The following is a 14388-nucleotide window of genomic DNA, read 5'->3' as shown; positions in this document are numbered from 1 at the left end:
TTTTGGACGTGTTGAATTTGAGGTGACTCTGTTATATCCAAGTGGAAATGTGAAGCACACAACTTGGTTTCAAAAATCTGAAACTCTAAGGAAAGGTTAGGCTTGGAGATTTTTATTTGGGAGTTTTTGACATCTGGTGATGATTAAAACTGTGGTTGTGTGTGAGGTTTCCTACAGGGTGAGAATAAGGATCAGGTCCAGTCCTCAGGAACTTTAACACATACTGGCCAGTTAAAGGAAAGTAAACTTGGGAAAACAATGAAAAGCAGCAGAAACTCACAGGGCATGACTGACCTCATGAAAATGCAGTAGTGTACAAGACAGGGAAACACTATGTATAGAAAACAGTGAGAATCATACATAGCCTCTGATCTACTGAAAATATGTGAAAAAATATTCTACTTTCTATATCATCATAGCCCCTTGCTTTTTTAGAGAATAAATGTTATGTCTTAAAGGAAGTTGTTTTCTATGCCCAACAATATTTTACTGTTATTAGGCCCCTATATGGACCCTTTCTGGAGTCTGCCCTTCTCTGCAATGGAAGATAGGTTTCATGCTTCTTACCTGTAATGAAGTTCAGTGCTTTATACTCCTGTTTCTGTTTATCACTGCTTGCTCCAAGCACAACTGATAAATTACATCCAGCACTAAGAACTTGGACTCCAGCTCTATTCTAGCAAACTTCTTGCACATAAAGAAACCCACCCCCCAACCACACACACACACATAGTGGTTAGGTGTCTCTCTCAAGGTCACATGGTTAGTAAATACCATAGTCGGATTTAAATTGACACATTTTGTTTTGTTTGAGATGGAGTCTCGTTCTGTCACCCAGGTTGGAGTGCAGTGGTGCGATCTCAGCTCACTGCAACTTCCGTCTCCCTAGTTCAAGCGATTCTCTTGCCTCAGCCTCCCCAGTAGCTGGGATTACAGGTGCCCACCAGCATGCCTGGCTAATTTTTGTATTTTTAGTAGAGACAGGGTTTCACCATGTTGGCCAGGCTAGTCTCAAACTCCTGACTTCAGGTAATCCACCTGCCTCAGCCTTCCAAAGTGCTGGGATTACAGGCATCAGCCACCATGCCTGACCTGATGGTTTTTGATTTCCAAATTTCCTCTCGTATGACACATGAAGGCAGCACCACAACTACTCAGTGATACTCTTTCCTTAACCGCCGTATTCCAAGCTAGATGTAACAAACACAAAGATTAGTCAACAAGGAGAGAGAATACATCATCTATAAAGTTCAAAAATCAAAAACTCTAAAATTATAAATTCATTAATGCAAGCAGCTTTACATTCCAACTAAATTGAAAAATAGCCTCAGACTCTGTTGAAAAATATATCCTTTGATTATAGTTCTCAAATTTTTCCAAAGTTATGAAAACTACATCTCATTGTCAATACTTCAGACTACCCCATGGCCATCTTGCCTGGGTTCATGGTACCAAAAGGAACTCATTCTGCTTTGATTTCTCTTGTTTTGTGGATAAACTGTCTACCTGCCAAAGTCTTAATTACCCAACAGGTCTGAATAATCCTGTTTTAGTGTCTGTTTTAGTTCCCTATTTACAGCTCATTTAGGGCTCTTCTGGCAGCTGGTTTTGCTCTAAAGGAGTGTGGGTGCCACGTTAAAACACCCCTTTGACAGCATGGAAAGGCTGGACCAATCCAACCTCAGGTCAATAAATTTGGTGTCACAAACTAATTGAACCAATGAATGTTATGTAGAGTGCCACGTGAGGGCTATGTTCTCCATGGTTTTGGAGAAGCCAGGTACTCAAACCACCTCAATGGTTGAAAGACAAGGTTATGCCTAGGGAGAACTGTATGATATTTGTTGTTTCAAAATAAACAAGCATTACCAAGCTGTGGCGAATGAAGGTTTACCTCAATTTTAGATTTTCATAATCTAAATTAAACTGAAATGGAAAAATTTTACCTGGTGTCATGTAACAAGGTAATCCAAGGAGCAGATACATATCTGGAAATTAAGTTAACCCAACAACCAAGGGAAACTTGACACATATTAGAATCCAAATTAATACATGAAACTGGTGGGCTCTGAGCTTCTGGGATAATAGTACCAAAGACGGGTATCCTTGGACCTTAAAAGGATCTACTGGCTGTCACTGTTTTATTAGTCTGGTGCTATTGCCAAATCAAACTAACACTGACTACCTTCTCTCATTTTGCCTTGGAAAATGGTCAAATACAAGGATTTTTTTCCAAGCCTCCTAGAGTTTAGTGCCCATCTGTTCTCAATCATTGGGAAGACTCAGGAATAGATTGTGCCATGAACCCTTGGACAACCCCACCCCAGGAGGCTGCAGTCCTGGCTGCTTATCCTGGGGTTATTTTTTTCCTCATCTGTGAACATACAATGTTGCTAAATTGTCATGAGGATAGCATGGTAGCTAAACTTTCATGAGGATAGCATGGTAGAGAAGACCTAGAGTGTCAGTGTCCCAATAGCTAATGCATAAACATTATAATCAAGAAGGACAATAAAAGATGTGCTACAGCCACTTATACTAAGAATCATGAGAATATTCAAGTATTTTTTATTTTGTAACATTTCTGTAAAAGAACAGAAATGCTACAATGGGAAAGGATAATTCTTAATTAGATGTCCTTCCTGTCAAGCAAGGAGGCAATTCATTTTAAAACAAAGAGGAACCAGGTTATAAGCATGGAGCTCATGATCACATTCTCTCTTACATCCTAAGCTGGAAAGTGGGGAAGGGAGGAGTTTCCATTTCTGCTTACATCACTTGTTTTAGTTTCCTAGGGCTGCCATTAAAAAGTAGCACAAGCCTTACACAACATAGTCCAACAATTCTGGAGGCTGTAAGTCCAAAGACAAGGTACCAGCACGATTGGTTCCCTCTATGGGCTCTGAGTGAATCTGTTTCCTGCTTCTCTCCTGGCTTCTGGAGACAGTCAGCAACCATTGGCATTCTTTGACTTGTAGATGCGCCACTTTGATCTCTACCTCTGTCTTTACATGACCTTCCTGTGTATCTCCCTCCCCTCTTCTTGAAAAAGACGCCAGTAATATTGTATTAGGGGCTCATTCTACTCCAGCATGACTTAATCTTAACTAATTACATCTGTAACAACCTTGTTTCCAAATAAGGTCACATTCTGAGGATCCAGAGGTTAAGATTTCAACATATCTTTTTGGAGGTCACGGTTAAACCCATAACACCATTTAAGCAATTCTAAAAGAGAACCTCACCAGAAAATGACTGAGAAAACAATGCAGGCAAAATTTTTATTTTTACTTATCATTTTCTAAAATTGAGGACAAATGAAATGTATTTAAGATATACTTTTATCTGACACCTGACATAAAGAATTACAATGTTTACTCACTACAGTTTGTAAGGAAACAATTAACTATTTATGGCCTGACAAGAAGGAAGTCTCCCCTGATCTTTGGTAAAAATGTTTCCTGAAATAAATAATTTATGCCATCAAATTATCTTGTGTCATTCATCTTCCATGGTGAATCAGGGAACTACCCTACAGAATTGTATCAACAAATATGTCTCAAATATTCTAACACAGTTATGGTTTCACTTTAGTAGGAACTCTGTAATCACCAAAGGTAATTTCTGCAGCTATATGTGGAATTCTTGGGAACCCAGAGATAGCCAATTTAAAGTAATATATACTGCTTGAGTTTGTATTTTATGAGCCAGATTACTTGTTCTGTTTGATTGAGTCTAGCTGAGATGAACAAACATGAGTTTTAAGTCAAATCACAGAAATATTAGAAAGTGTATCGCTCTCATAAAACAAGCTTGTCTCAGTAAAACAAGCCTACAAGTAGACTAGCATGTCTGCACCAAATATTGAATTACGAGGTACTCTGATGGTCTGTTTAACCTTCCAGTATCTGGTACTTAAAGAATCTTGGCAAGCTACCGATGGTCTAACACCTTCTGAAGAGCTATTCCCCTATCAGCAGAGGGATTTTTCCTTTGCCAAACTCAATACCAAGTGCCCAGGCCTCACTAATTGCAAACTTGATTCTCTATAAGTGAAAGTCAGTGACTCCCTGGACAGTCTTCAAGATCCTAACTCTCTTCATCAAAGACCAAAGGTCAAAGCAAGGCCCATTACCAGGTCTGACTGCCTTTGGATACCAAGAACAGCAGGGTTTTTCTGATTAGAAACAGGGCACAGTCTGACTTGTGCGCTCAGGGATGTAGCCAAATGTGCTGCAGAGAGAGGAGATCCAGCTAACAAGGCCCCCTGCTAATATCTCCAGCCTAGTCTCCTGCCACTACACACTAGTAAGATTGAATTTCATCCAGGTCGCCAAGGTTGACATGTTCAGTTTTTTTGTTTCTCGTTTGCCTTCTCTCCTACCTCTGGGTCCTAGAAAATTCACTCCCTACTGTTCCAAACGCCTTTAAGAATCTTGCTTTATTTATAAAATACCAATATGTCCTTCAGAACTTGGACAAAAGTGATTCCTTCCAAAAATGGTCACTAATGCCCAGATCTGTGCCCACTTTCAGTGTCTTCTTATACTTGGATTTCTCTCAGCACTCACCACACTGTATATTGTAATTGATTGCATATTTCACTGTCTCCTTGACCTGAATTTGAGATCCTTGAAAACAAGAATCATGTCTTATTTGCCGTTGTAGCCTCAGCAACAGGGATACTGACTGTCATGTGACAAGAATTCAATGAAGATTTATTGAATGAGTCACAGAATAGACACTGGTTTTGGAATCACAATACCAGTGATATTGTTCTAGCTCTGCCGCTAACAAGCTTTGATTTTTCAGTAAATTGTGATGACTGTTGCATACTCTTGACCTCAGGATCCTCAGCTACCATGGATAAATCTTTGTTTTCAACTTCCATTTTCATGAATTCTTAGTTCCTTTTTCTTTTCATTTGTAAGGTGGGGATGACTGCACTTGCATGATGGCTAGTAGGAAAGGTCATTATGAAGTATATGCAGGAGCTCTGTAATGGGCAAAACACTATAGAAATACAAGTTATTGTTGATCCTCAGTATAGATTAAAGGCAATAACAGCTGGGTGTCTGAAAATGTAACTTTACTGTGGGAAATGTATTATATGAGTGTAAGATAGTGCATTCACAAAACATCTTCCTCTTCCTTTCTTTCCTATGAAAGAGGTGAGGCCTGATGTAGGTAGATGTCCACACCCAAGGATTGTCCATTTTGGTCTAGGCACCAATAAATCTCTTGGTCACTTGAGGTATTTTTGATGCAGCCTATATAGCCTGGTAGTTTCTATAACTCAGACTTTTCCTGACTGGGCTTTGAATGAAAATTATTTGTGTAAAGCCATTAAAAAAAACTATTATATGATTTTCCTAAGCAGTTCAATTAAATATTACAACATACACATATAGGTTTCACTTCAACCACTAACGGACCAATGGATCCTCACAAGAATATGGTGAGTTTCTGCAGAGATGAAGCTGTTTTTGTCTCCCTCTGTGTTTCAAGGTCTCACAAATTCCGTCTGCAAGTGCCCAGTGTACAAACACTTTTCTCCTTCGTTTTGATGCTTTCTCCAGAAACACTTGAAGATTAGAGACTGGCTTCTGGGACAAGTAACTGCTAGAAAAGCTTTTCCAGCCAAGAAAAAAAAAAAAGTATATGTGTCTTTAGTACTTCCTGCTTCTCTACAATTAGAGTAGCTTTCGCTACAATTAGGGTGAAAGACATCAAATTACATCAATTGTAACCCTTTCCTATTTGGCAAAAACAGCACAATATAAGCAGTCCAAAAATCACTGGTGTCTACTAAAGAAAGGTGTGGAAATTTAAAAGTAGGCATCAGTAAGAAGTCAAGGGGGAAAATGGCAGATGCTTTGATTAATTTCTAGAGTCTGCCTCTTCTGCAAATATCCCTTGGCCAATCCATGGTGTTGAAGAAAGCCTGTAAGAGTGTGCATTTAATTCTTGATTTAGGCAGGTCATGATAAATAAGGAAAACATGCCATAATGAATTAGAGAACAAACCATTTCAAAGCTCATGGACATTGAAAATATGGTAGCAAATAAATGCGTGCCCACACAATTGAGCAGGGTAACACAGGGAAAAATCCAGGTCATGTGCCAAGCTGCCAACCCATACCCAGAGACACACACATACATACATGCATGCACATGCAGATACACATGCACACCAAGATACATGTACACACACATTTATATTCATCCACATAACATACTCTCACATACAGACACACACACATGCACATACACACATAGGCACATACACACACATGCACACACACACCACACACACACACACACAATGAGATGAAAAATCAAGAAAATTCCTCCAAATACTTTTTATTATTGCCTGACTGGTGCTGCCAATGAAAACTCTTCATTGGAATTTGTCCTCACCAGCATAGATGATGGATTCAAATAAAGGAGTAGCCGTATAAATTAGAAGACAGGAAAAGCCACACAGTGGAGTGGAAAAACCCTGGCACTGAGATTCATGAGAGCAGGGTCCTAATTCTCATTTCCAAATAGAGGGGTTTAGGTATCAGACACTGAATTTAAATCCAGGTCAAAACTGGGAAGACTTTTGTGGATATTGCCTTCCAATGCTGTACTTGGACTACTCAATTTTTGAACTGGAATGTGAAATAGTCTGTTTCATGAAATGTAAGTAGCTTAGTCCTATTGTCATGCCAGGATTCCTGCCTTTATCCTGTAAATAATTGAGTTTGTGATAACTCATTTAAATAATCTGTCTAAATTTCTTAAATGTAAAATGCTGTGAGTGGGTGCTCAGAGAATTCTAAAGTGACCTTTTGTTTCCAGAATTATTTAGAGGTACATGCAAAACATGGCCATTTTGACATATTCTGGTAGAGAAAAATGTTACAATTTCAGTGCAATGTTCCAGTCTCTGGCTCAATCAGGAAAATACAAACGCTATAAAAGTAAACTTCTGCATCCTCCAGTTCTCCAATTTTGTGATGAATCCATTTTGTAAAGTGGCAAGAAAATAAATTTGAAATGAAAATGACAAGCTAATAAACATCCCCATTGTGACTGCAAAGACAAAACATCAAATAAAAGCGGTGCCATCATTGTAAATCAATAAATATTGGATATTAAATGAAACATTGACATCAACTGTAAAGTGGAAGAATATATAAAAATCCAAACACAGATCTCCCTGGGAATGGGCATGGACACTGTGTTGGGAGCCTTTGCCAACAATAGGAAAAACATTTTCTTCTCTCTGTCGCAACACCTTTCTTTATAAAGTGAGAAATTTGGTTAGATGATTGTTAATTCTGGCTCTAACCATTTATAAAAGACTACAGCCGGCGGCAATTTTCTCCAGCCTGTGTATTGTTAATCCTGCTTCATGGAATTCGTCTAAATGCAATCCATGCTTGATTTTCATTCATAAGGAGCTCCATGGGCTACGCACACTCTAATTGGAAAATTAGTATTGTTTCAAAAGCACTGGCTTAGTCTCAAAATGAGATGCCCTCAGCATGACATGCATATCTAATTTCTTCCACGGTTGCAAAAAATAAGAAAGAAAAGCATTCTCAACCACTCCTGACAGCTTTTATCACGAGTTATTCAACAAATGTTTTCTGTCCACTTGTCCGAGAAAGCTGATTAGACAAAACAGCCGGTGGAGGCACAAAGAAGAACATTCATTATTTTTCAAGGAAATATAAAAGAAATTTCAATACGCATTTTTGATGTTGTTATAAAAATGTCAGGAGTGTGGCATCCTACACAGTTAGAGGCTGTATTTCCATAACATTACAGGGATACATGTGATTATTTAGCTTTAAATTAAATTGGTCTAATACAGGTTTCTATCAAATATAAAATCCTTCTCTGTGCACTTATTAGATAACTACTCTAGAGATGATTTCTTATCAAATCAAGGGATCTGGAATGGCCAGAGTTCTGACTAGCCTCCATTTAGAAAAGATATCTTGAGCCTTTGGTTCTCTGTTACGTATGATCAACATGTTCCCTTTAAATGGAACGAAGAAATATGGGTGGATAACACATAGAAAGGAAATTTAGCTGTCTGCTCCCTCCCCTCCAACACACAAAAGAAAGAGGATCTGTGCTTATCACAGCATCTTACATCCCCATCTGTGCTTTTATCTCCTGCAAGATTCCCTCATTCCAGTCAAGCATGATTCTTACTTTAGCTAAACATTTCCAATGCTTTTTTATTTTTCTTTTCCCTACCACACTCCAAGCAGTTTCTCGTGCCTTTTTTCTGTCTGACAGTGTGTCTGAGAGACCCAATCTCTGGGCAGATAAGGCTTGAGTGGGGAGAAAGCAAAATAGTCAAGGAAAAAAAAATGAGGAGGTGGGCTTTACTCTTTGCATCACTCTTCAGCCATGCCTGCTCCAGCCTGAAGGTCTCCTATGAACTTAATAAGAGAGGCAGGGCAACTCCCCTTGCCCATCTCTTTCTGGTACAAACATTCATGTGCAGTCCCCTGTAGGATCTCAACATTGTAAGGGTCACCAGGGAAAGCTCCAGGTGAGACTATGGAATTTATCTCCAGAATTATCAACACCCTGGCTGAGTTTCATGGGTTGATGGTGTTTTCTTTAGATCAGATTTGTTTTCCTTAGATTAGAACTGAAGCAGGAGTCTAGAGTCAGACTACTTGGAATTAAACCTGAGCTTTATTACTAAACAGCTATGTAAACTTAAACCAGTATGTGACTCTCTCTGTCCCTCAGTCTTTTCATCTGTAGAATGGGAATGATTAGCCTTTAATTCATAGGTATTAAATGTGTGACTCATTGCAATTGCTCAATGAATATTAATTCTTACCCTTATTGTTCCATACACCAAGAGTGTTTTTAACTAGGGGTAGTTGAATCTACCTGCAATGTTGAAGGTACCAGAGTCAGTTGGAACATCAGACATTAGAATACTATAGTGTGTGTGTGTGTGTGTGTGTGTGTGTGTGTGTGTCTTTGTGTGGAGGAGATACACCCAGACATACATACACACCAAATGTTTCAATCAGAAAATAATAAAAACAAGAACTAACTGCTTGGTTTCTAAGGGTAGATTCCAATTATTTTCTTAAAATACATTACCATATAAATTTCATCTAAAAGAGAAAAGTAAAGGAGAAAGTGCAGTGGGTGGGCTAAGGGGAAGCAGTTCTAATATTCCTCTCTGACCAGAAAACCATGTTTCCCTGAGACCATCTTCTCTCAGGACTTAGTTTCTTCATGTGTATGTGATGTGGCTTATTTTGGAATGGGTTAAGGTATAATGAATACACTAACTAAAAAGTTGAGTTTGATCCAGATAATCTCTATCCACCATTTTTACTCACTTTTCTTCACTTGATACTATAATTCTACCCAGAAAAAAATTAACCAGACCGTATGCCTATATAAATATCCCTGCATATACATGCATAAAACCATTCCATATATATCACCTCATTTGCTTCTTATGAAGAATACAAAGGCTAAATTCTTCTGTTAAAACAGCAGAACAATAAGTACATAGTGGGTCTGCCATAGATATTAATTGAATTCCCTCGTAAACATTTTCTTTTCTAAATAAACTGTAAGAAATGGAAAAGTCCATTGATCGTTCTCAATGAAACAAACAGACTCAGTAATTAAATGACTTGCTACAGTTCACCCAGACTATTTGGGTCTCTGGCTGTGTAGTGTTTGCCAGGGCTGGGTATCTCTTCAGAAGGAAAAAGTGACCTGAAGAAGACATCTGGTCAAAAAGCATCACATGCTCACCCTGGTTGTTATGAATACATATTGTTCTTCTCCTCCCCATCCTGTCGTCTAGTGTCAAGTAAATTTCTTAAAGCATCTTCAAAACAAAGCCTTCAGGACTAGCATCCTTGTAGTATAAAATCAAAATGTCTTAGCCCACAGCCCCTTCTGTTCCAGCCCCATAGATCTTTCCAGCCTCATAGGCTCTCTCTCCCTCTAAGTCCTGCTGAACCCATATCACCAACATCCTACAAGCCGCTTCATGCCTCCATATCTTTTTTCTTATTATTCTCTCTCCTTTTGCCAGTATGGTGGACACAGACTCTTCCTTTTTGTCTCTGTCTACATGTCGGTTCAGTGGTGTCTTCTTCCCTAGCGGGTTTAGCTCATCTTTGCCCCCACATCACCTTTTAAGCCTCTGATTGAGCAAGTATCAACCATATTGCATTGCAATGAGTAGTATTTACAGGATCCTAATCCCTTTGCCCACATCCTACTACACTGTGAAATGATTTTTTTGGGGGGGTTTGTTTTTTTCTGAGACAGGATCTCTATCTATCATCCAGGCTAGAGTGCTTTGGTGCAACTATGGTGTACCTGAAACTCCTGAACTTAAGTGATCCTTAGCCCCCTGAATAGCTGGGACTACAGGCATGAGCCACCATGCCCAACTAATTATTTATTTATTATTTATTTTGTTCTTATTTTTACTTTAAAAAATATTATCCTTTTTATTTCATTTGTTTTAACTTTTTTGTTTTGTTTTTGAGACGGAGTCTTGCTCTGTCACCAGGCTGGAGTGCAATGACACTATCTTGGCTCACTGCAACCTCTGCCTCCCCGTTTAAAGTGATTCTCCCGCCTCAGCCTCCCAAGTAGCTGGGACTACAGTTGCACGCCACCACACTCGGCTAATTTTTGTATTTTTAGTAAAGACGGGATTTCACCATATTGGCCAGGGATGATCTCAATCTCTTGACCTCGTGATCCACCCACCTTAGCCTCCGAAAGTGCTGGGATTACAGGCATGAGCCACCATGCCAGGCCTGTTTTAACTTTTATTTTAGGTTCAGGGGTACATGTGCAGGTTTGTTATATAGGTTAACTCGCATCACGGGGGTTTGTTGTACAGATACTAAGCCTAGTACCAAATAGATATTTTTTCTGCCGCCTCTGTTCTCCCAACCTCCTCCCTCAAGTAGGTCCCAGTGTCCGTTGTTTCCCTCTTTGTGTTCATGTATTCCCATCCTTTAGCTCCCACTTATAAGTAAAAACATGCAACAAACATGCATTAGTTTGCTAAGGATAATGGCCTCCAGCTCCATCCATGTCCCTGCAAAGGACATGATTTTGTTCTTTTTTATGCAGCATTCCATGGTGTATATGTACCACATTTTCTTTATCCAATCTGCCATTGATGGGCTTTTAGGTTGATTCCATGTCTTTGTTATTGTGAATATTGCTGCAATGAACATATGCATGTCTGTGTCTTTATGGCAGAATAATTTACATTCCTTTGTGTACATACCCAGTAACGGGAATGCTGAGTTGAATGGTACTTTTGTTTTTAGCTCTTTGAGGAATTGCCACACTGTTTTCCACAATGGTTGAAACAATTTACACTACCACCAACAGTGTCTAAATGTTCCCTTTTCTCTGCAGTCTTGCCAGAATCTATATTTTTTTTTATTTTTTATACATACAAGATCTTGCTATGTTGCCAGGGTTAGTCTCAAACTCCTGTGCTCAGGTGATCCTCCCACCTTGGCCTCCCAACGTGCTGGTATTACAGGCATGAGCCATCATGCCCAGCCTATTGTGAGTTTCTTAAAATAGCTTGTTTTCACATTAGTTTTGACAAGCTTGGAGCCTCACACAGAGCCTATCACAAAGTAGGTGCCTAATAAATATTTTCAGGGTTTATGAATAACTGGCTGAATAAGTGAATAGATGAATACATATAAATTTGTGTATTTGATCTGAATTGACATCTAACTTGGGCTAATCTTTCCCCTTTAGTTTTCTTGGTTGAAAGGAAATTCTCTGAGACCAGCTTGAAAAGGATATTAATATCAAATATTTTAGAAACAGTCAAAGGCCTCATGAACTTGGGGGCATTTTCCAACCATATGCTTTTCATCTCCTTGTTCAGCTGATATAGTATGGAAGTAATTGAATGGCCACTCTTTTCTAGGATGTCAACATACATTTATCAAGATTTCTGGGCAGCTAGTTGCTCCTTTGAAATCTAAAAAGATGTGACTCTTGGCAACACTGTATAAACATTAAATTATTTTCCTGATTTTTTGCTTAACAACTATCATTTGATTCATTTGCCAAGATAACTTCATTATGTCCTTGGAGCAATTCAATATGCCAGCAATTTGAGTCTCCATTTTTCAAATTCACCAAGCAAGAACTCCAAATCTTAAAAGAGGCCAGCACAAACCTTTAAGGGGCAGAGTTAGAAGGCAGGAGAGAGGAAAAACATTGACTATTGTGGGTTCTGAGACGCTTGTTAAAAATAAGACATGATATTCCCATCCATTATATAAACTTCTCTCTCTTGTTCTGTCTTTTCGTCTTTCTGTAGATAAAGTTTGGATTAATCTCCCTTTTACACCAACTGCACTTTTTAGATGTCGATTATAATTCTTATCACGCCTTGTATGACAGTGGTATATACATGGCCCATCTTTGACCATAACCAGCATACTATCACAGCCAAGTCCCACTTCAATTGCAAAGCATAGATTCTGAAAGGCAGGGTTGGCAAGAGAGAAATACCCTGGAATCTAACACATTTAGTACTAAGAGAAATGAGAGTAGCAGCCCAAATCAGTATTGTGAGACAAAACGAACTCTTAATCAAGTCAGGATTGCTACAGAATTTCTTAGGAGACTGAGCTGCTGAGTCCACATGGATAGACGGGTGGTCTTGAGAGGTGACAACGTGCTAGCAGCCCTCACTGGCTCTTGGCGCCTCCTCAGCCTGGGAATCCACTCTGGCTGTGCTTGAGGAGCCCTTCAACCCACCGCTGTACTGTGGGAGCCCCACTCTGGGCTGGCCGAGGCCACAGCCAGCTCCCTCTGCTTGCGGGCAGGTGTGGAGGGACAGGTGCAGGCAGGAACTGGGACTGCGCCCTGCGCTCGCAGGCCAGCGTGAGTTCTGGGTGGGCACAGGCTCTGAGGGCCCTACACTCGGAGCGGCCAGCCAGCGCCACCGGCCCTGGGCCGTGAGGGGCTTGGCACCTGGGCCAGCAGCTGCGGAGGGTGCGCCGGGTCCCCCAACGCTGTCTGCCTGCCCATGCTGTGCTCAAATTCTGGCTGGGCCTTGGCCACCTCCCTGCAGGGCAGGGCTGGGGGCCTGCTGCCCTCCATGCCTGAGCCCCCACCCCCCGCAGTGGGCTCCCACGCAGCCAGAGCCTCCCCAGCGGGCACCGCCCCCTGCTCTGCGGTGCTGGGTCCCATCCACCACCCAAGGGCTGAGAAGTGCGGGTGCGCAGCGCAGTGCAGGACTGGCGGCCAGCTCCGCCCATGGCCCTGGTGCGGGATCCACTAGGGGAAGCCAGCTGGGCTCCTGAGTTGGGTGGGGACTTGGAGAACTTTTATGTCTAGCTAAAGGTTTGTAAATGCACCAGTCAGCACTTTATGTCTAACTCAAGGTTTGGAAATGCACCAATCACCACCCTGTGTCTAGCTCAAGGTTTGTAAATGCACCAATCAGTGCTGTGTGTCTAGCTAATCTAGTGGGGACTTGGAGAACTTTTCTGTCTAGCTAAAGGATTGTAAACCCACCAATCAGCACTCTGTGTCTAGCTAAAGGTTTGTAAATGCACCAATCAGCGCTCTGGGTCTAGCTAATCTGGTGGGGACTTGGAGAACTTTTGTGTCTAGCTAAAGGATTGTAAATGCACCAATCAGCACTCTGTGTCTAGCTCAAGGTTCGTAGATGCACCAACCAGCACCCTGTCAAAACGGAGCAATCAGCTCTCTGTAAAATGGGCCAATCAGCTCTCTGTAAAATGGACAAATCAGCAGGATGTGGGTGGGGTCAGATAAGCGAATAAAAGCAGGCTGCCCGAGCCAACAGCGGCAACCCTCCGGGTCCCCTTCTGGTGCCCAAGCTTTGTTCTTTCCCTCTTTGCAATAAATCTTGCTGCTGCTCACTCTTTGGGTGCGTGCCACCTTTATGAGCTGTAACACTCACCGCAAAGGTCTACAGCTTCACTTCTGAAGCCAGCGAGACTACAAACCCACCAGGAGGGATGAACAACTCCAGACGCACCGCCTTACGAGCTGTAACACTCACTGCGAAGGTCTGCAGCTTCACTGCTGAAGCTAGCAAGACCATGAACCCTCCAGAGGGAAGAAACTCTGGACACATCTGAACATCTGAAGGAACGAATTCTGGACACACCATCTTTAAGATCTGTAACACTCACCGCGAGGGTCCGCGGCTTCATTCTTGAAGTCAGCGAGACCAAGAACCCACCAATTCCAGACACACTCTAAAGAGAGATGGCTTCACAATTGGGTGAATTATGATTCCTGAGAGACTCGTCTGAGTTGGAGCAGCCTTGCAGCCACTAGCCAAGAGTTTAA

The 14388-nt window shown here is 41.0% G+C and overlaps 1 long non-coding RNA gene across 3 annotated transcripts in view, besides 1 other annotated feature; it reads right to left on the bottom strand.

The window, feature by feature from the left end:
• Nucleotides 1-14388, bottom strand: part of LOC105374510 (uncharacterized) — a 428164-nt gene that overhangs the window by 196116 nt on the left and 217660 nt on the right. The window lies entirely within an intron of this gene.
• Nucleotides 13224-13724: an enhancer, noted in NCBI's record as "H3K27ac-H3K4me1 hESC enhancer chr4:18631748-18632248 (GRCh37/hg19 assembly coordinates)". NCBI's record gives its function as "activates a minimal SCP1, AML or CMV promoter by ChIP-STARR-seq in naive H9 embryonic stem cells {active_cell/tissue: H9 hESC(naive)}" and the evidence as "EXISTENCE:reporter gene assay evidence [ECO:0000049][PMID:30033119]".

Source organism: Homo sapiens, chromosome 4 (genome assembly GCF_000001405.40).
Source record: "Homo sapiens chromosome 4, GRCh38.p14 Primary Assembly".
NCBI classification, from domain to species: Eukaryota; Metazoa; Chordata; class Mammalia; order Primates; family Hominidae; genus Homo; species Homo sapiens.
This window is presented reverse-complemented; position numbering and strand designations above follow the sequence as displayed.